We start from the raw sequence: 21,255 nt of genomic DNA, 5'->3' as shown, positions 1-21,255 counted from the left end.
CAAAAATGTTGTTAGAATTTAAAAAAAGTTGTAAGTACTTGGCTAGCTAAAATGGATCTCTTTAATCTTCAGTTCTATTCTCTAGTGAATGTCACAGATGTGGAGCCATTCATTTGGTCAATGTTTTTTAAAATATATATTTTTGATTTTTAAAATTCAAAATTTAATTTTTAATCATTTCTTTATTTTAAATATATAATTTTCAAAAAATTATAAGCTGTATAATGGCCTTATTTGGACCCCTTTAAATGTTGATTCCTTGGTGAAGGGGCTCCTGACTCCCTGTGACCAAATAAATTGCTGTGTTCTTTGAGTTTCCCCAGCTATCTCAACAAATACTCATTATAATGTATTTTGTTTAAAAAAAAAATCTGTCTTCCCTTCTATACAGTGAGCGCATCAAGGGAAAAGGCAATGTCTTTTCATCTTTGTGTCACTTGGGCTGAACAGGGCAGTCAGTTTATGGTTAAGCATTAAATAAATATTTATTGAAAGAATAAAAGAATGAATGGATCTTTCTAAGATGGTTTAGATAAAGTGCTTTCTGAATGCCAGGACAGGGCCTGGAATATTACTTAGGGAATTGTTTCCAGCATTGTTTTATAAGTCACTGATGAAACAGGAATGGGGATGTTAAAGACCCAAAAGTAAAAACAAATGAAAATTCAATTTATCCAGAAAACATTTTCTTTTCCATTGCAAGCATTTTAAAGTTACATAATTTATTCTCACTACTAAACTAGTAACTTCAGAATAGCAAAAAAGTTATATTTTATGCTTTTGCATTAGAACAAAACGTATTAATTATATTGTGTGAGAAAGAATAAAAGGTGCTTTAAAATTCCAAACAAAAGTGATTTCTCAATGACAAGAGGCAAACAAATTAAAATCCGATACTGAAAAGAAAAGTTTGGCAACTGCATTGTAATAGACATTTTTTAGAATGCTGCTGGGACAATGATGCTTGTCTATCATTTATTTCAACCTAAATAAGACTAGGAGCAAAAGGGAACTGTCGGGAATATTGCATAAATTGAGTTATGAACTAGCCCAGTGCATTGGTTTAGGATACACTTGTGAATTTCCAGAAGAGGTTTCTATATCCCTCTTCATATAGTTAATCACCAGTTTAGTCATTTGTTCATATATACACATCTCTACCCCACTGTATGTTTTTATTAATACAGGGAATATGACAAAAAAAATTACTCATCTTCTCTAAGTTAAAGCCCCAATTTTCCTTCTTAGAAGCCTTTATTAGGCAGGACTTGCCATGTTGCCAAAAAATCAGTAGTTCACTTTTATAACTAAAAGCTGTGAGCTCTAGATATACCTTTACAATCATTAATTTAGGTAATTGGTATAGTTTGGGTTCTAATTTCATTATGAAGATCTTTTTAAATAGTAATTCTCATTTGCTCTATTCTACTTGCATTTGTTGAAGCATGTTTATCATCAGAACATACTGCTTCATAGCCATTCCATAGACTTCAAAAATTAAAGTAGCATTGTGTAGGGGTTACAAACAGAGACTCTAGAGCCAGACTACCTGGCTTTGAATTTCAGCTGTCACTCACTCGCTTCAGGATCTTGGGCCCATGGCATAAGTCTTCTGTGCCTCTGTTCCATCATTTGTAAAATAGTCGTGATGACAATGAAAGTACCTACTCATAAAGTTATTTTAAGATTTGAGAAGTTTACTCTCTATATTAAATCATTTACTTATTTTTTTTTTTTTTAGACAGGGTCTCACTCTGTGCAATAGTGCCATCTCGGCTCACTGAAGCCTTAACCTTCCAGGTTGAAATGATACTCTCCCTCAGCCTCCTGAGTAGCTGGAACCATAGTAGTATGCAATCACATCCAGATTTTTTTTTTTTTTTTTTTTGTAGAAATGAGGTTTTGCCACATTGCCCAGGCTGGTCTCGAACTCCTGGGCTCAAGCAACCTGCCCATTTTGGCCTCCCAAAGTGTTAAAGTGTTTAGACTACAGCCTAGCACACAGGAAACATTGTATGTGCTTATTATGGCTATTATTATTTTTGTTGTTATTGTTATAGGCTTCTGCCAGGATACCATACTATTTTAACCATAACAACTTCAAACCTACTCATTACTTAAACAATCCCCAGAAAGGCAAAGTGAAGGACTAGTGTGGAATCAAACATGTATAGACTGGCATTGTAATGTATTTATTTGAAAATAAAACAAATACTGTCTATGAATCACAGAGCATCGAAGATACTGATTTTAGTTTTGAGCAACTCTGTTGACTGCACATGTTACGATTTGGTGCAGAGTAAAGGGTCACTAATATTAGCTTCTGCTTTCTTCCCTGCCTCTAAGTTTTCTAGCTCTATCCATGAAGGATTAAGTTATCAGTCCCAACTATAGATTTGGACCCTTGTTGACTTCCTTTCTATTGCCCTCCAGATCAACTCTCCACACTTCAACAATCTTGTTGGGTTGGTGTATTAGTCTGTACTCACAATGATATAAAGAAATACCTGATACTGAGTAATCTATAAAGAAGAGAGGTTTAATTGGCTCACAGTTTCACAGGATGTACAGGAAGCATGGTGAGGAGGCCTCGGAAATTTACAATCATGATGGAAGGCAAAGGGGAAGCAGGTATGTCTTACATGGCCAGAGCAGAAGGAAGAAAGCAAAGAAGGAGTTGCTACACACTTTTAAACAACAAGATCTCATGAGAACTCACTCACAATCATGAGGACAGCAAGAGGGTAGTTCACTCCATGATCTCATCACCTCCCACAAGACCTCTCCTTCAACATTGGGAATTACAATTCGACATGAGATTTGGGTAGGGACACAAATCCAAACCACATCATTCTGCCCCTGGCACATCCCAAATCTCATGTCCTTCTCACATTACAAAACACAATCATCCCTTCTCAACAGTCTCCCAAGTTCTTTTTTGTTTTGTTTTGTTTTGTTTTTTTGAGATGGAGTTTCACGCTTGTTGCCCAGGATGGTGAGAAATGGCATGATCTCTGCTCACTGCAACCTCCGCCTCCCAGGTTCAAGCAATTCTCCTGCCTCAGCCTCCCTAATAGCTGGGATTACAGGCATGCACCACCAGGCCCAGCTAATTTTGTTTTTTTTTTAGTAGAGATGGGGTTTCTCCATGTTGGTCAGGCTGGTCTTAAACTCCTGACCTCAGGTGATCCACCTGCCTCGGCCTCCCAAAGTGCTGGGATTACAGGTGTGAGCAACCACGCCCAGCCCCAAATTCTTAACTCTTTCCAGCATTTACTCAAAAGTCCACAGTCCAAAGTCTCATCTGAGACAAGGCAAGTCCCTTCCACCTATGAACCAAAATCAAAAACAAGTTAGTTACTTCCAAGATACAATAGGGGTACAGGCATTGGGTAAATACTCCCATTCCAAAAGGGAGAAATTGGCCAAAAGAAATGGGATACAGACCCTGTGCAAGTCTGTTACACAGTTCCAAAATTGCTTCCAAATTTTCAGGTATCTTTATAGCAACACTCCACTTCTAGTATCAATTTTTGGTGTCAGTTTATTCTCACATTGCTACAAAGAAATACCTAAGACTGAGTAATTTATGAAGAAGAGAGATTTAATTGGCTCACAGTTCCACAGGATGTATAGGAAGCATGGCTGGGGAGGTCTCAGGAAACTTACAATTATGGTGGAAGGCGAAGGGGAAGCAGTCACGTCTTATATGGTCAGTGCAGAAGAAAGACAGCAAACGGGGAGCTGCTACACACTTTTAAACAATCAGATCTCATGAAAACTCATTCACTGTCATGAGAACAGCAAGGGGGAAATCCACCCTCATGATCCAGTCATCTCCCACCAGGCCCTTCCTCCAACATTGAAGACTACAATTCTACATGAGATTTGGGCAGGAACACAGACCGAAGTTACATCAGTTGGTGTGAAGAGAGTGGTAAGGTTGGATGCTAGCCCATGGGGACTACATGACTGGGTTTCCACAACCTCTAGCTTTCAGTTACATTCATCCAATAGGGATCCCAGTTAGAGGTCAAAGGAAAAAGAGAATTGAGGTCAGGGTACTTCTTTCTCTATGTCCTCTAACTCCCTTCCTGTGACTACCCCAGGGTGGCTGTGTTCTTCCACAGAAGTACTATTCTTCTCAAGGTGAGCAACACACTACAGCACTCTTTTCCTCTTTGGTTTTATGCACTCCTTTTTGACCTCATACTTTTGAGCTTATGAGGAACAAACTCTGGATGACCAAACTCTTTCTTGTGATTCCCTACCCCCACATCTATGGAGGTAATGCTTTGAGAATGAATCATTATTAACATGTCCTAATTTGAGTGTTTGATCAGTTTCCTGTTGAGACCTAGGCTAACAAAGTCTTGGTCTCTCAGAATAAACCCTACAGGAACAGAACTGGCATCAGCAGGCTCAACATCAATGTCTTATGAGCCTTAGCATTTGTTTTATTACTGATTATTCCTGCAATGTGAGGTTGGAGTTTACAATAAAGAGTTGTCAATGTTGACTGTACAGGTCTTTGGGCCACACAGCACATTGGGAAATGTTTCTCAAGAAGTTCTGAAGAGAGGGAGTTATCAGAAAGTTAGCATGGTAGCAGAGAAATGAAGGCAGAGATGAAATCTCTCGGAGATACAACTGACAATCCAAGACTCAACACAAATAGATCAACTTCAGTTTTAGGCCAGGCACCAGATGAGGAGGAATTTGATCCTGTGAATGAAAGAAGAGCACAATTTTGCTGCTGAGACAGAAAGAAGTGGGTACTGAGTGTAAGAATTTCATATCCAATGTCACAGGTCTGTTGTGCTGGATCTATGAGTTAACCCATAGGTCTGCTTCTGTCTTGCCTTGGGTGTGGTACTGAAGTATACATATCTGAAACTGTCTTCTTGAGAGATTCCTTCAGGACATTGGAAGAAATTCCATCCAAGTCCACAGTATCCACCAAATACTACACCAATCCCTTCTATTTCTCTACCCCACTGTGTTGAGTCATCATTCTTTGTATTCCTAACTACAGGTTGGAGTTCTATTATATCACAATATCCAATAGCTAAAATGCAACAACTCCTATGTAGTCAGAGTTCTTCTGAGAAATAGAATCAATAGGATATATATATCTAATATATATGTATATATATTTATATACATATGTGTATATATATATATAGAGAGAGAGAGAGAGAGAGAGTTTTCTTTTAGAAAAACTCTTTTAGGAAAACACTTGTGTGATTTTGAAGGCTGAAGATCCCATGATTTCATCTGGAAGCTAGAGATCCAGAAAATCCAGTGGTGTAATTCCACTTTGAGTCCAAAGGCCTAGAAACCTAGGGTGCTGACGGTGTAAATCTTAATTCAAGGGCAGAAGAAGACCAATGTCTAATCTAAAACAGGCAGGCAAAAAACAAAAGAGGGTAATTCCTTCTTCCTTTGCCTTTTGTTCTATTTGGGGCCTCAATGAATTAAATAATGGCCATTCACATTGGGGAAAGCAATCTACTTATGGAGATCACTGATTCAAATATTAATCTAATCCAGAAACACCCTCGCAGACACACACAGAAATATTTAATCTGAGTACACGTTGGTTCAAGTAAAGTTATCACATAAAATTTACCATTATGCTTTATTTTGTAAATTCTTGCCTTCTTTCTTAGATTCATATGTTTTCTCATCAGAATTGAATCTCCAGGAACAAACTCATTGTACTGGACCTTCTAGCTGTACTTGTGTAGACCAATCTCTATAGCCAGGTTAATTATCTGAGAACCATGTCATAAAAGTCAGAGAAAAGGACTCTGACCAACAGGATTCACCTTGATTCACTGTGTGCTGCCCATTCTAAATGGTTTGCTACTCTAACTGCTTTCTATTTTGAAGTTGGCCTGTCTGCAAATTCACTGTGCTTCTTGACCTTGAAACATCCACACATTTATACACATGTGCACACGCACATACAGGGAATGCAAAATTCTCTTTGATTTCAAACCTCATTTGGTTAAAAGCAACAAAATCTAAGTGTGAAGTATTGAGGAATCAGTAAACGCATCTACTGAGATTCAGGATGCAGAGATAGTCATAGTTTTCATCTTTACAAGAAAAAAGCCAGGCCAAAAGTGATATATGGAGAGTGAGAAAAGTGCAAACTGATGGGTGGCTGGTTAAATTAATCTTCAATAATTCATTTAGATATGAGTAGCAGAATAGAGTCTGAGAAATCTGAAAATGTCAAGAAGAGAGACCTATTAAATGACTTTCCAACTATTATCCAAGGTCAGGAGAAACATTAGCTTGAAACCATGAATGTCCTGGCTCCTAGGTTCCAATTTTAACAACTAGATGATGTGTCCTGTTTTTCCAGGTGCAATCTTCATTCATTGAGGAATGAAAAGGAAACAAACCCAGAGATAAACAAATTTAATCCAGATTATCCTGGCTTTATCTGTTAAAAGGCATTTGTTTAGTAGAAGTAGCAGTGAGTGTAATTATTCAATGCCCATATCCTTCCCAACTTTAAGGATTTTTTTAAAGCTAGGTATAAAGACCATTAATAATTGATAAAGCATTTGTAAACCCTTAGCAAATGAACCGTCAAGGGACACATTAATAAAACATCTTTTAAAATCTCCATCTCTGGGCTGATTCTCATCACGCTGTCCCAAAGCAGAGTACACCGGGCTGCTTATCCTGCAGCTCTTGGTACTGCCCAGCATGTGTAGCAAGGTGAGACAGGAGACAGAGGGCAGGGCCTTTTAGGAAACCAGTGCCATCTTTCACACAGGTATCCACACCCCTCCAGCTGATTCACAGCTTAGAACCATTCCCTAAGTAAATAAATCCTTAGCCAGAATTTTTCACTGGGTCACTAGATATAAATTTATAGATGGACCTTTTGACATTTCTATTTGCAAAGCAAAACATTCAAGATCCTAGGGGAATTGAAGTATTAGGCATTTAGGAGGAGCCAATGAAAGTTTTCACCTTGAGGTCACTGTTCACATTTAGCCCAGGCTAAAGGAGCAGTCAGGGTCACTGAACAGCACAGCTCTGAGGCAGTTAAGTGGCTTGGCTCATCTTATTCTCACTGGTTAATGCAAAAGATATAAAAATGTATTTTACTGACATGGCATCTTTCTTCTTTACAATGAAGAGCAGTGCAGGGACAAGAAGAAACCAGCTATTAGCATATCAACCTGTCACTGCCCTTGGACAGAGCAGGGGTTGTCAAGAAACCTCAGTGTAAATAAGATCAACAGCAAGGATCCGGAATCAAGAGCAGGAAGCATTTTCTACAATCCTATAAAAAGAACTATCCACCTGGGGTGTGACTAGAGGTTACCTAGTAAGCATGTATTCATCAGGTAATCTGTCCCTATGTCAAGGCACAGAAGAGTCATTCTAGGTATGGTGAACAATTTTGTCAGTAGCACCCCAAATACTTATTGAACTCTAGCTATATGAATGACTTTGTTGGCACTGAGTGTATAATGATATCATAAGAGCCAGTCTGTGCTTTCCTGAGGATATCACCCCATTTTTGAAGGTAAAATTCATAGGTAAACAGGAAAATAATTTTTCAAGGTGGCACAAAATTTCAAGGTATCAGAGTAGAATCAATTTTACAGAAGTACTGAGATGAGATGGGTGTTTTAAGAGTCTACAACTGATATAATTAAGGACATTATAGGATAATAAAACAAAGATTTTCTTGATTCCTATACATTTTGGCCTAATTTACTTACCACTGTGCCCACTTAGAATCCCATGTGTCAGTTCAGTTCTGCTTCATCTAAATGAAGGATGTGAGCCTCTTATTTGCAGGAACACTAACTGAGATGCAGAGTTTATATTTATTGCTCTGAAGGAAGTCTAGAGTCTTTGGTTCATCTTTTGAAAGTACAACTTTATCAAACCTATGTCAAAATTTCCAAAGGAGAATAAAGCCCTTTCTCTGTATAATTTCCCCTGCTAATCCCTTTAGCTTGTGGTAGGGTTAGAGTTTGGGTTAGTTAAGGATTAGAATTCATGTTGCCCCACATTTTCCTGATTTATAAATAAAGGTTGCCAAAATAAAGACATATGTTCATTCCAGGAAGACTTCCTCTTTGTTTCATTTAATTGCCTACTTATTTAGTCCTCAACAACCCCAGGGTGAAATGATATAATCTGCTTTGGTTCAAGACTCATTCACTCTCACCTGGACTAACACATCCTCCTTATAACTGGTCTTCCTCTTGTCATTCTGGCACGCTTATAATCCTGTTCTACACAACGTTCAAAAGGGTCTTTATCAATGAAACTTAGTCTGTATTAACCGTCTGCTTAAGATGCTCCTTTTCACAGCCCACTAGCGCTAGCTAATGGTTTCCCCAACTTCTCTCCATCCCTTAATGTTTCCGAGAGCACATACCCACATACTAGCCATTTTTTCTTTGCTGTGCCTTCCAAGTTCATAACTATCTAAGAAAGAGGCTTGCTCTCTGTTGCTTGTCCATAAAACACTCTAATAAGAGATATTTGCATCTTCAGTTCTTTCTTTTCCTTCAGGCCTCAGCTTGAACATCCCAGAAGCCTCTTCTGATTATTCAACTCCTCTGCTATCTACCTCCTCATGCATAACAATCCACCCCGCCTCCACTGCCGGGTCACTCTCTACAACATGACTGTTTTATATCTTTTAAGAATGATTACAGTGTTAATATGTTTATCTTATTATTTTATTTGTTTCTTCATTTTTTATTTTCTCTACCCCCACCTTCAATTAGAAATGCATTCCAGGAAAACAAGACTATGTTGAATGTTCACATTTATGTGACAGTGCACTTAAGATATAGACCCCACTCTTAAGAAAGATATGTAGTAAAGAAAATAGGGAACACACCAAAATAGGTATGAAAGATAATGTGCAAGAAGTATTATAAGTGAAGGTGAGCCACAGATTAGAAGAGGTCAAGGAAAGACGACTTCTACCTACAATGAATAAGGAAAGTATTGTGATCGAGGTGATCCTTTAATTGACAAAGGATCTGGGTTTGACATGATTTGGGGGGACTATTCCACTCAGGCTAAAGCATAGGCAAATATTTTTCAAGACATATAGAAAATGAATCCCAAGCTACCATCCAAGAATGATGGAACAGAGACCAGGTGAGGCAGCCAAGGCCCTCCAGAGGATTTTATTATTTCTTTCATGATGTGGCAAAAATATTTCCCATCATTCAAACTAAGAAATTCAAGGCAGTTTTTCTTAAAGATTTGGAAGCAGTAAATAACTTATTTTAAGGAATTATATTGCCTGGCATGGTGGCTCATGCCTGAAATTCCAGCACTTTGGGAGGCCAAGGCAGGTGGATCACCTGAGGTCAGGAGTTCAAGACCAGCCTGGCCAACATGGTGAAACCCCATCTCTAGTAAAAATACAAAAATTAGCCAGGTGTGATGGTGTGCACCTCTAATCCCAGCTACTCAGGACGCTGAGGCGGGAGAATTACTTGAACCCAGAGGCAGAGGTTGCAGTGAGCAGAGATCACGCCACTGCACCCCAGCCTGGGGGATAGAGTAAGCCTCTGTCTCAAAACAACAACAACAAACACAATAACAACAACAAAACGACCCGTTGGCAGGGCGCGGTGGCTCACACCTGTAATCCCAGCACTTTGGGAGGCCGAGGTAGGTGGATTGCCTGAGTTCAGGAGTTCAAAATAATTTGGGCAATATGGTGAAACCCTGTCTCTACTAAAATACAAAAAAAAAAAAATTATCTGGGCATGGTGGTGGGCACCTGTAATTCCATCTATCTGGGAGGTTGAGGAACGAGAATTGCTTGAACCTGGGAGGCAGAGGTTGCTGTGAGCCAAGATCCGGCCACTGTACTCTAGCCTGGGTGACAGAGTGAGACTCTCCTTCAAAAAAAAAAAAAAAAAAGAGGAAAAGAAATTACATTCTTCTGTAAAAGGAGCATATGCACATAGCTTATATATATCATATAATCAAATACTTGGCTACCTATAATAATCCATGCTTTACTTCCCTTGGACAGGAGATTGTTGCTTAAATAATAGTAGGGATAATCTCAAAGAATCTTAAATGCAGTGTTTCTTCTTCTCAATTATTGTCTCCTCAACGACAAGATACACACTATTTTTGAATATATAAACAAACTGACTTGTCTAAAATTAAAAAAAAAAATAGCTATGACTGTAGATTCAAAAGGCCTGGAAATTATTCTTTGTTACCAAAAACGGTACTCTTCTTCTCCCAGATGATATTTAAGCCCGGCCAGCATCCCAATCGCTCACTCCCATTCCTCACCCAGATATTTGCTCTTATAATAGTCTTGTTCTTCTTGCAGCAACACAATTCTCTCCAACAACCTCCTATATCCTTATAGGCAATGGGCTGTGTCCATCCCTATCAGCACGAAGGACGCAGTGAAATAGATCTTAAGGTATATACCATGTAGTGCAAAGCCCAGGAAAGAGGTTTTGACTATGACATGGCCCTAGTTGCTTATGAGCACTGTCCAATAAATCACCCAGTTAGACCCCTACTGCCACTTTGCTTCTGTGCTGCTGTAGTCTGATATTTTTCAAAGCAAAGTCCACCCAGCCATTAAAATAAATAAGAAGACCATTACTGCCTTTCAATCTCTTCACAGAAAAATAAGTTAAGAACACCCACACGCAAACACACATATACACACTCCAAGACCAGTGGTACTGAAGATTTCATCCGCTGTCTGACAAGAAGATATTTAATTAACTCTCCCACCTGTCTCTCCCTGCATGAGACAAACAAGTCATGGAGCTTTGGAAGAATAATTAATTCAAGATGTAAAAGCAGCATCAGATTAAAAAAAGAGACAGAAGTGGTAGGAGTCTGGAGTGCTTAATTTTCATTAAACAGCACCCTTGCTAAGAATTTTGCCACCAAGCATGCTTCTGAGGTCAGGACTTAGCATGTCCTGATCCACCAAAATATATACCATAAACCCGAGGACCCTAACAGAGGGTCACGCCACCAAGCATGCCTCTGAGGTCAGGACTTAGCATGTCCTGATCCACCAAAATATATACAATAAACCCAAGGGCCCTAACAGAGGGCCACACCACCAAGCATGCCTCTGAGGTCAGGACTTAGCATGTCCTGATCCAACAAAATATATACAATAAACCCGAGGGCCCTAACAGAGGGCCACGCCACCAAGCATGCCTCTGAGGTCAGGACTTAGCATGTCCTGATCCACCAAAATATATACAATAAACCCGAGGGCCCTAACAGAGGGCCACATCAGAAGGTGAAAGTACGCCTTTGGAAATGAGTGCACCCAGAGTATTAAAGTAGCTCTCCAATCTCATCCTTGGAAGTGTGTAGGTTGGGAGGTATCTTATTTATGGTGAGGATGGGTGTTGGCTCACGCCTGTAATCCCAGCACTTTAGGAGGCCAAGGCCGGAATCACCTGAGGTCGGGAGTTCAAGACCAGCCTGACCAACATGGAGAAAACCCATCTCTACTAAAAATACAAAATTAGCTGAGCTTGGTGGCACATATCTGTAATCCCAGCTACTCAGGAGGCTGAGGCAGGAGAATCGCTTGAACCCAGGAGGTGTAGGTTGTGGTGAGCCGAGATTGCACCACTGCACTCCAGCATGGGCAACAGAAGCGAAACTCCATCTCAAAAAAAAAAAAAAAAAAAAAAAAAAAGTCAACTATATCCTGGCTGGGTACAGTGGCTCATGCCTGTAATCCCAGTGCTTTGGGAGGCTGAGGTGGGAGCATCACTTGAGGCCAGGAATTTGAGGCAGGAGTGAGCTATGATTGTGCCCCTACACTCCAGCCTGGGTGAGAAAGCAAGAAAGAAGACCCCATCTCTACCAAAAAAAAAAAAAAAAAGAAAAAAAAAAAGAAAGAAAAAGAAAACAATTATTTCCCCTCTGTCAATTTATGTGTGCAGAGGAGCTCTAGCCTCTCCTCCTATCTATAATCACCCCTACCCAATGGGAAGAGATGGAACTTTCTTAATTGATGAATTTGGAAGAACTACTTGAGTGTGCTTAGTTCTGCTCTTCCTGCTCTCCACTTTTGGCCTGATCTTGTCAACAAGAAACTTCTATTTTCTGACAGACAGCTCCTCGCAAGGGAACTTCGAGTTTCCTGTTTTTCCTGTCGTGGGATGAAGCATTAACAAGATCAGTATATCACAGGTATTACATCACATTCTTCAGATTTGCACTGTTTTGTAGTAATGAAGCTACTATTTTGTTCTCCATCTCTGGTGTCTCCATCTTTCTCTCAATGATTTTGGAATTTGGAAAAGGAGGATGGATGTATTTATTGGTATCACAACATCTCTTTCACCTTGTGGATGGAATGTTTAGATACCTGCTGTGGTTTAAATGTGTCCTCCAGAGTTCAGGTACTGGAAACTTAATCCCCAATGCAACAGTGTTGGGAGGTGGGGCCTAATGGTTGTTTAGGTCCTGAGGGATCCACCCTCATGCAGAGATTAATGCTGATTACGAAAGAACAATGTCTGTGGTATTCTTTTACGGAAACACAAACTGAACCAAGACAATACCATAAAGATAATTTCAATGATTTTCTGTTTTCTTTTGCTACATTAATAGACTCTTAATAACTTTTTGACTTCAGGCAAACCAGGATAAAATTAAAAGGAACAGTCACACAATCAGAAATTGTTCTTTTTAATATATGTTGATTTGAAGTTATGAAAGTTAGAAAATGGTCTTAGGAAAGAATTTGCAAACAGAGGGATGTGGGTCAGGAAACCCTACATGCATTTACAAGAAATGTCAGACTGAGAACAAACTGTCATTTACTTCCTATAGCCTCTATCTACTACATTTTCATTAATAAGAGTTTGAAGAAATTGACATATTTTTAAAAAGTAGCCACACTTGCCAAGCTTTCTGCAAGGAGAGTCATTTGCTTCCCTGGTTACATCTTTAATACCAGTTTGTTCTCCATGCACTGAAAACAATCCTGCTCCTGGTGGCCTCAGGCCCTGTCTTTTGACTCTGATTTTCCTCTCCCAAAACCTCTTGATTAGCTGACTTTGCAGATCCCTTATGTCAGGTCAAGTTTAGTCTACATCTTTCTTCCCAATACACTTGGTGCTTTCAACCATCTCCTGATTTTCAAGCTTTATCAGTCAGAGACAATTCTTTTTCTTCCTCTTTATATACCAAACAGGTACAGCCAATAATAACCTCCTCCTAACATTGATACCTCAAACACTTCTGGATATAAGCCTAGGCCCTCTACAAATTTGGAAGGGTTAGTGACTACTTTTGCTATATACCCAACACTTTAAAAATGTTATGATACTTATACCAATACAAAAGTACATAAGTGCAAGGTTATTCACTGCAGCATTCTTTGTAAATGCAATATATTAGAAACAACCCAAATGCCATAAATAGGAGAGCATTTGAATAAACTAAGGTGTAGCCACAAAATAGAGAACAATGCAGCAATAAAAAAAGAATAAGAAGATATCTTATTAAGTAAGATGGATGAATTTCTTGGATGTATTGTTAAATGAAAAAAAATCAAAACATATAAATATCTATGGTATGCTACTTTTATTTAAGACAGAGGAATATAAGAAACTATATATATACCTAATAACATGTGCAAAAATAAATATAAGAATAAACCAGAGACTAATGAGATAAGTTACCTAGGTGGGGAAGATGACATTAAGGTAAAAAGAATGAGTAAATGAAAATGGGATAGAAGGATTGGCAGGAGTCATACTTTGCTGAGTACAACTTTTGTTATAGCTCTGATCTGCAGAACATATCCAAAAATGAATGAATGAAATTAATTCATTGCTAGAGAAATCATATAACCATATGTGTGTGTATATATATGTGTGTGTGTGTATATATATATATATAGCCATGTGTATATGTGCATGTGTATATGTATGTGTTTGTATTATACACATATTTCCTAACAGTATTTATTGCAAACACCTAGAAGCAATAATATCTTAGTAGGTATCAGCTCACCTAGCATATGGATCTTGATTTCTAAATGCAATTTCCCAGTAAAGACACTAGGACTCCTTGGACAAACAGCTGATTCCAAAGTTGAGGAGAAAAAGTACAAGTTGAGCCTGGAATTTTTGTGGTTACAGAAAGTAAACAAATACTTGAAAAATGATGGGACCACATTCAAACAACTCAGAGTCTAATTTGACATAACTCTCAATGGTCAAATCTAGGAAGATTCAAGCAAAGAATATAAACTGATGGAAAGAGATTATAACCCATATAATAAAATAGATGTACATGAGTCCACACTGATGTAAGTAAATAATTAAATAAATAGATAGGGAAGAAGAGATAGTTCTTCCTTACAGTAAAATTACAATTAATATGCAGGAATAGTGAAAAATAAGTCACCATTAGGTAGTCAACACATAAGTGTTGCAGGCAGGAATCATGGATAGATAATAAAATTAGTGGACAGAAGTATGAGAAAAGGGACACTTGTATGGTCACAAAATATCTCACCATAAGACACTCATTACAAAGAAAAAATGGTCACCTTACAGTGATAAAATCTGGCAGGCCCATCTTCATCAAGTGATCAAAATTAATGTCACTAATAACAAGCCATAACATCATGTTCTCGCTGTTTTGTTGTACTGAGGAGGGCTCATCACACAATCATCACAATGCTACACACTGGGCTGCATTCTTGACAAAAATGTGTAATCTCAATCTAATTATAAGAATAAATCAGCCAAGTCCAAATGGAAGGAGAGTCTAAAAAAATAAATTGTTAGTACTATACAAGTCAAAAGTGTTAAGGTCATGAATGACAAAGAAAGACTGAGAAACTACAACAGACGGGAAATCACTTAACAGACTTGAAAACTAAATGCACTACCAAATGCTGAATTGGATCTTGGACCAGAAAAAAGGACATTAATGAGAAAATTGATGAAATTTGTATAATACACATACATTAGTTAACAATCTCTAAATTTGAATGATGTCAATGCTAGTTTCCTGGTTTTGATAATTGTAGTATGGCTAGGGAAGGTGTTAACATCAGGAGAAGCTGGATGAAGAAACTTTGTGTTACTTTTACAACTCTCTAGTAAGTCTAATATTATTTCAAAATAAAATTCTAAAAAATTCTATACTTCATCCTCTCATTAACACTATTGTGTAGATATTACTACCCCCACTTCATAAATGAAGAAACTGTAACCCAAAGAGAAATCACCAACATTAAGACTGCTAAACAAATGAGATGCTGGATCCGAGTTTATTTGACTACTACTATCAACAGGTATTTTCAATATACTACACTGCTTAATCTTTCCTTGGTTATTTAATTCTAAAATTAGATGGGCTCAATGTCATCTCTTACTTGTGGTACAGACAATAGTAATAAAATATTCCTGCTTTAGATAGACAACAGAGGCCAAGAATAATTGTGTGACATTACAACAAATTGAAGAGTGATTGAGGACATGAACACTTCCAAACAGACCTAGAATTAAAACCAGCTTACCAAATTCATCAGAGAAAATAGTAGTATCTCTGGAATCTTTATGCTCTATATTAGATGACAAATTCTTTTAGTGCAAGGGCAGTCACTTAATATAGAGTATAAAGATGCTGTTGTCTACCTTATCTTGAACAGCTAACATTTTTCAGGGATCTATTATATAGCAGACCTCATACTAAGAGCTTTATGTAATACAGTGTTGCATTTCTTCTTTGCAGTCTTCCATGAGTTAGGAACCAACATAATCTCCATTATCTCAGAAAGATATGCCATGGGCTAGGTATCTTGTCTGATGGGAAATTTAGATCCTGACTTTCCATCTGACTACAGAGCCCACGCTCTTCCCAACTGCACATAACACTCAGTGTAAATGGAGGATAAGTGCATTTAACTGTAATATGTTGTTCTCTTCTTCCTTTGGTATCTTTGAAAACTGAGTGTGCTTCTAGGACACATTTATGACTGCTGGTTTCCTGAAAAGGTCAGGCTGTGCCCCTGAAGGTGCATTTTTCCATCACACACCATGCAAGCATATCTCTTCCAGCTCTGTCATTTATTGTTATGGATTTCCTATATTTTCAATTATGTTCTTTTTTTTTTCAGCAGGTTAAATCAGATTTGAGGACAATGAAGGGTTAATGAAATGATCTTGGTGTAATTACTCATTATAAAACATCTCCGTCTTGGTTGAGGCCTTACTTGGAAAAAAAAAAAGTCTCCTGGTGCAGCAGCAACAAAGGAAGCTGATAAAGGAAGGGAGAGCTGCCTATTCTTTAGTGAGTTTTATTGCAAATGGAAAAAGCATGTTACTTGTCAAAGGCGTTATTAAGAAACTCACTGAAAGATAAAAAGTGGAGCCAAAAAAAAGAACAAACCCCCCCCAAAAAAATAACACGCTGCTTTGCTTTTTCTCATTGCTCAGGAATGTTTGTATTTGCTTGTTTAAAATGAGTTTGAAATGTAAGATGGAAAATGGCTGGTTGACACGAGCCTTTGTTTTCTACTCTGTGCCTATTGTATCTGCATGCACTGTATATGTAGAAATCTTGCCAACCCTTCCTCCTCCCCTCTCCAAAGTGTCTTGATAATGACATGATTGGAACGCTTAGAACTCAAAGTTGTATCTTAATTGAAAGAGAAAGAAAAGGAAAACATTAAAAAAGACAGCAATAATAAATATCTGGGGTTGTCTTTTACCTGAAGTCAAATGGATTTACTCTATTCTTAATCTTTATTACCTAGTCATTTTGTGGAAGGTGTTTTTGTTGATGCCTGGCTTTTTTTTTTTTTTTCCTACAGCAAAAAGCATTTATATAACTCAAGCTGTTAAAATCATGCATAGAAATGCCAAGGTTTTGAGGTTTTGCCTCCCTCCGGTGTGGAAGCATGGTACATCGCCATCCACGAACATGAAGTCATCAAATCCCCTTTTCCACTGATAAATTGGTGCTAAATGAAGCTGCATAAAAAAGCAAAGATCAAAGCAGAAAATCTCAAGAGATCCATGCACTTCATATTTTAGACAGCTTTCTGCATAAAATTACTTAGGAGTAGATGGCAGAAAAACACTGGGTTCCAGTCCTATCTCAGCCCTTGTGTGATTTGAACACTAGAAAAGCTTCTCACTAACACCTTTACCACAAGTCTCATTGCATTTTAGTTTTCAGTTGTACAGATGTCTTCCTAAAAAGCAAAGTTAATCATGACGTTTCCCCATACGAAAGAATATTGTAATTACCTGAATACAAAGAATAAAATTAAAATTGTTCAGATAGACACTTAAGGCCCTTCACAACTGTAGACTTTTCTAGAATCTTACCACTTGTTTGTCATCTTTGTCATCTTTGACAGGCGTTGAAAAGTGGAATAGGAAGGTCCATAGCCTCTGACAGGGCTTGGTAGATTACTAGGTGAGTCAATATGATTCTTTTCCTGGAGTTTGTGTTAGGAAATCTGGAAGGAAATCATCAAATTGTTAACAGAAAAGTAAGTGGACAGATAAAGAGGTAGATTTGAGTTCATAGTAAAGAGTTAGAATAAAAATTGTGAAGCTTTGCTGCAGAGATTTCTAGAGCTGCTTAGGATTCAAATGATTGACTTGTCCAAGCTCAGAGACTTTAGTTTTGCTACTGTTTCTGCTCCTTCTTAGCTTGGATGCTTTGCTTTGCCTGACTTCCCTTGAAATCTATGCATATGGCTGAAATCCTTGTTTACTTATTTACATGTCTATCTTTAAAATAAACTCTACATAGTTTAAGGTAGCCATAGTTAATCCTTGAACAACATGGGGGTCAGCGTTGCCGAACCCCCAATCTTGTGCTGTCAAAAATCTGCATATAACTTTTGACTTCCCAAACACAACTGCTAATAGTCTACTGTTGACTGGAAACCTTACTGATTACATAAACAGTCAATTGACACATATTTTATATATGTATTATATACTAAATTATTACAGTAAAGTAAGCTAGAGGAAAGAAAAATGTTATTAAGAAAATCATAACCTAGAGGAAATATATTTACTATTTATTAACTGGAATTGGATCATCATAAAGGTCTTCATCCTCATGATGAAGGTTGAGTCAGCTGAAGAGGAGGAGGAAGGGGAGGGGATGGTCTTGCTGTTTCAGAAGTGGCAGAGGTAGAAGAAAATCTGTGTAAGTGGACCCTTGTAGTTCAAATCTGTTTTGTTCAAAGGTCAACTGCATAGTGAGCTTATCATTCCCAAACATCACCAGCACGACCAACTTAAGCTCTGCCAACAGGAATGAAATGGTAGATTGGCCCTAAACTAACTTTACCTGGAAAATACTTACTCTTTTTTAAAGTTCTGGGTCTAATATTATGCCATTGGAAAACCACATTGCCTCAGAGAGAGCTTGGTTCTACTCCATTTCACCATATATTTTGCTTCTATCTCTGTTACAGCAGGTAGGGAGTTCCTTGGGCTGCCACAACAAACCACCACTTAGTAATTGGAGACAGAGGACATTTCTATTCTCACACTTTTTAGGCCTGAAGTCCAAAATCGGTGTTGGTAGGACCACGCTCCCTCTGAAGGCTCTAGGCAGGAATACTTTATTGTTCCTTTTTGCTTCCGGGGATTCCTGGCATTCCTTAGATTGGGAAGCATAGCCCCAGTCTCTGCCTCTGTCCTCACGTGGCCTTCCTCCCTGTGTCTTTGTGTGTCCCCTATTCTGTCTTTTTAAAGTATATTCATCATTGGATTTAGGGACTGCCAAAACCAAGATGATCTCACATGAAGATCCTGAACTTAAGTACATCTGCAAACATTCTTATTCCAAATAAAGTCACATCCTTTATTCCAAATAAAGTCACCAAGATACAGGTGATCGTATCTTTGGGGGACCACCATTCAACCTAATACAGAACAATTATTACATTATTTTATAATTCACTTGGCTTTTCTTTGAGACTACAGTCTCTCAACTGCAAGACTCACACCTTACTTTTTTATATCCTGGTATTTAGCAGTATCTGACACACAGTTGTCTTTTTTCATTTCTTCACATTCAGTTTGTTTGTCTTTAATGGTGAGATGAATCTCTTACAGGCATCATATAGTTGGGTTTTCTGTTTTTTTGTTTGTTTGTTTTTGTTGCTGTTTCTATCCATTCAGCTACACTATATATTTTTATTTGAGAATTTGATCCACTTACATCAAAGGTTATTGTTGATAGATAAGAACTTAAGGATTCACTCCTTCCTTTTTGTTAATTTTTTTCTGAATATTTTGTAGATCCTTTGTTTCTTTCTTCCTCTGTTTGTTGTTTACTCTGTGGTTTGGTGGTTTTCTGTGGTGTTGAGCCTTGTTTCTTTCTTTGTATTATTTTTATATCTGCTACAATTTCTGTCTTTGTGGTTACCATAAGGGTAACATAAAAAGTCTTGTGGTTGTAATAACCTATTTTAAGCTGAGAGCAATTTAACTTTGGTGCTACAAAAATACTCTAGACATTTTCTCTTCTCTCCACAATTTATATTTTTGTTGTCTTAATTTACTTTTTAAAAATCTATTATGTGTTCCTTAGCTGCTAATGATAGCTTACTGTTTTTGACTATTTTGGCTGTAAACTTCCATACTAAAGGATTGAGAGATTTACATTACACTGTTACATCACTGGGGTATTCTGAGTTCAATTTATGAACTGCCAAGTTTTCTATTTTATTGTATTGATTATCGTCCTTTTGTTTCCAGATGTAGCACTCCCTTAAGCAATTCTTGTAAGGCTGATTTAACGGTCATACATTTCCTCAGATTTTGTTTGTCTGGGGAAGTCTTTACTTCTCTATTTCTGAAGTATAGCTTTGTTGAAGGTAGTATTCTTAGTTGACAGTTTTTATTCTTTTGGAATTTGAATATATTATTTTATTCTCTCCTGGCCTGCAAGGTTTCTGCTGAGAAGTCTACAGGTAGTCTAATAGAGATTCCCTTATATGTAACTTGGTGCTATTCTCTTTCATTTTTTAGAATTCTCTCTGTTTTGAATTTGATAGTTTGAGCATAATATGCCTTCGAGCAGATCTTTTAGGGTTAAATATAATTGGGGACATTTGAGCTTTCTGAATCTGGATGATCATCTCTCCCCATATTTGGGAAGATTTCAACTATTATTTTATTATAGGTTTCCGGGCCTTTCTCTCTCACTTCTCCCAATATAACTCCTATAATGCAAATAGCTGTTTGTTTTATGGTGTCCCGTGAGTCCTGTAGGCATCCTTTAGTTTTTATTACTTTTATTTTTAATATTCTGAGTGGGTTATTTCAAAAATACCTATCTTCAAATTTAAACACTTTTTTCTTCTGCTTGATCTATTCTACTGTTGAAGCACTCAGTTGTGTTTTTCATTTTATTTACTGCATTATTTAGCCCCAAGGTTTCTGTTTCTTTTTTATAATTATGACTGTTGATTTTCATTCAGACCACGAATTGTTTTATTAATTTCACTAAATTATTTGCGTATATTTCCTTGTATCTCGATGAGTTTCCTTAAGATCATTATTTTAAATTTATTTTCAGGCATTTTGTTAGTGTTCTTTTCTTTGGGGTCTTTACTGGAGACTTATTGTATTCTTTGTAGAGTGTCATGTTTCCTTGATTATTCATATTTCTTGTGTCCTTACATTGATAGCTGCATATCTGTTGGAATAAAAACTTTTTACAATTTTATGCAGTACCTTTTAAAAATTTACTTATTTATTTAATTTAGAAATGGGATTTTGCTCTGCTGTATTGCAGTGGTGTGATCTTTATGGAGTAGCTTTTATGAGAAGGCGCTTTCCTGTAGATGGATTCTGGGGTTTTATTTGGTTATGGTGCATTCAATTTGGTTCTGAGTACACTCAGTAGCATGGTGCGGTCTCTTTAGCTGTAATCCCTGTCAGCATCTTTTGTGTCAGCAATGTCTGCAATTGCCTCAGTGGCCTAGGCTGTGAGAAATTTGTGATGACAGTGCTATGGTTATCTTCTGCTGAGGACCAGCTTGACATGTATGGGCACAGCTAGGCAGGCATCTGTCTCTCTGGAGAGATGAGGCTGCTGTTGGGTCACCTTTCATGCTGGGTGGCTCTGCAGTGGTCTGTCAGTGGGACATAGCCACTGCAAGACCAGCTGTTGGGGCAGATGTGAGTATGTATGGGAACGATGCAACCAGGCAGCTATACT

At 37.8% G+C, this 21,255-nt stretch overlaps 1 long non-coding RNA gene across 1 annotated transcript in view; it reads right to left on the bottom strand.

The window, feature by feature from the left end:
* LINC01288 (long intergenic non-protein coding RNA 1288) overlaps window positions 1-21,255 on the bottom strand; it is an 80,878-nt gene that overhangs the window by 28,006 nt on the left and 31,617 nt on the right. Inside the window, exon 3 of the long non-coding RNA NR_125746.1 lies at window positions 17,388-17,521. This is a non-coding gene — a long non-coding RNA (long intergenic non-protein coding RNA 1288). The remainder of the gene's footprint in view (window positions 1-17,387; window positions 17,522-21,255) is intronic.

The sequence above is a fragment of the Homo sapiens genome, chromosome 8 (assembly GCF_000001405.40).
Source record: "Homo sapiens chromosome 8, GRCh38.p14 Primary Assembly".
NCBI classification, from domain to species: domain Eukaryota; kingdom Metazoa; phylum Chordata; class Mammalia; order Primates; family Hominidae; genus Homo; species Homo sapiens.
Note: the sequence above shows the minus strand (reverse complement) of the source record. Positions and strands in the feature narration are given on the sequence as shown.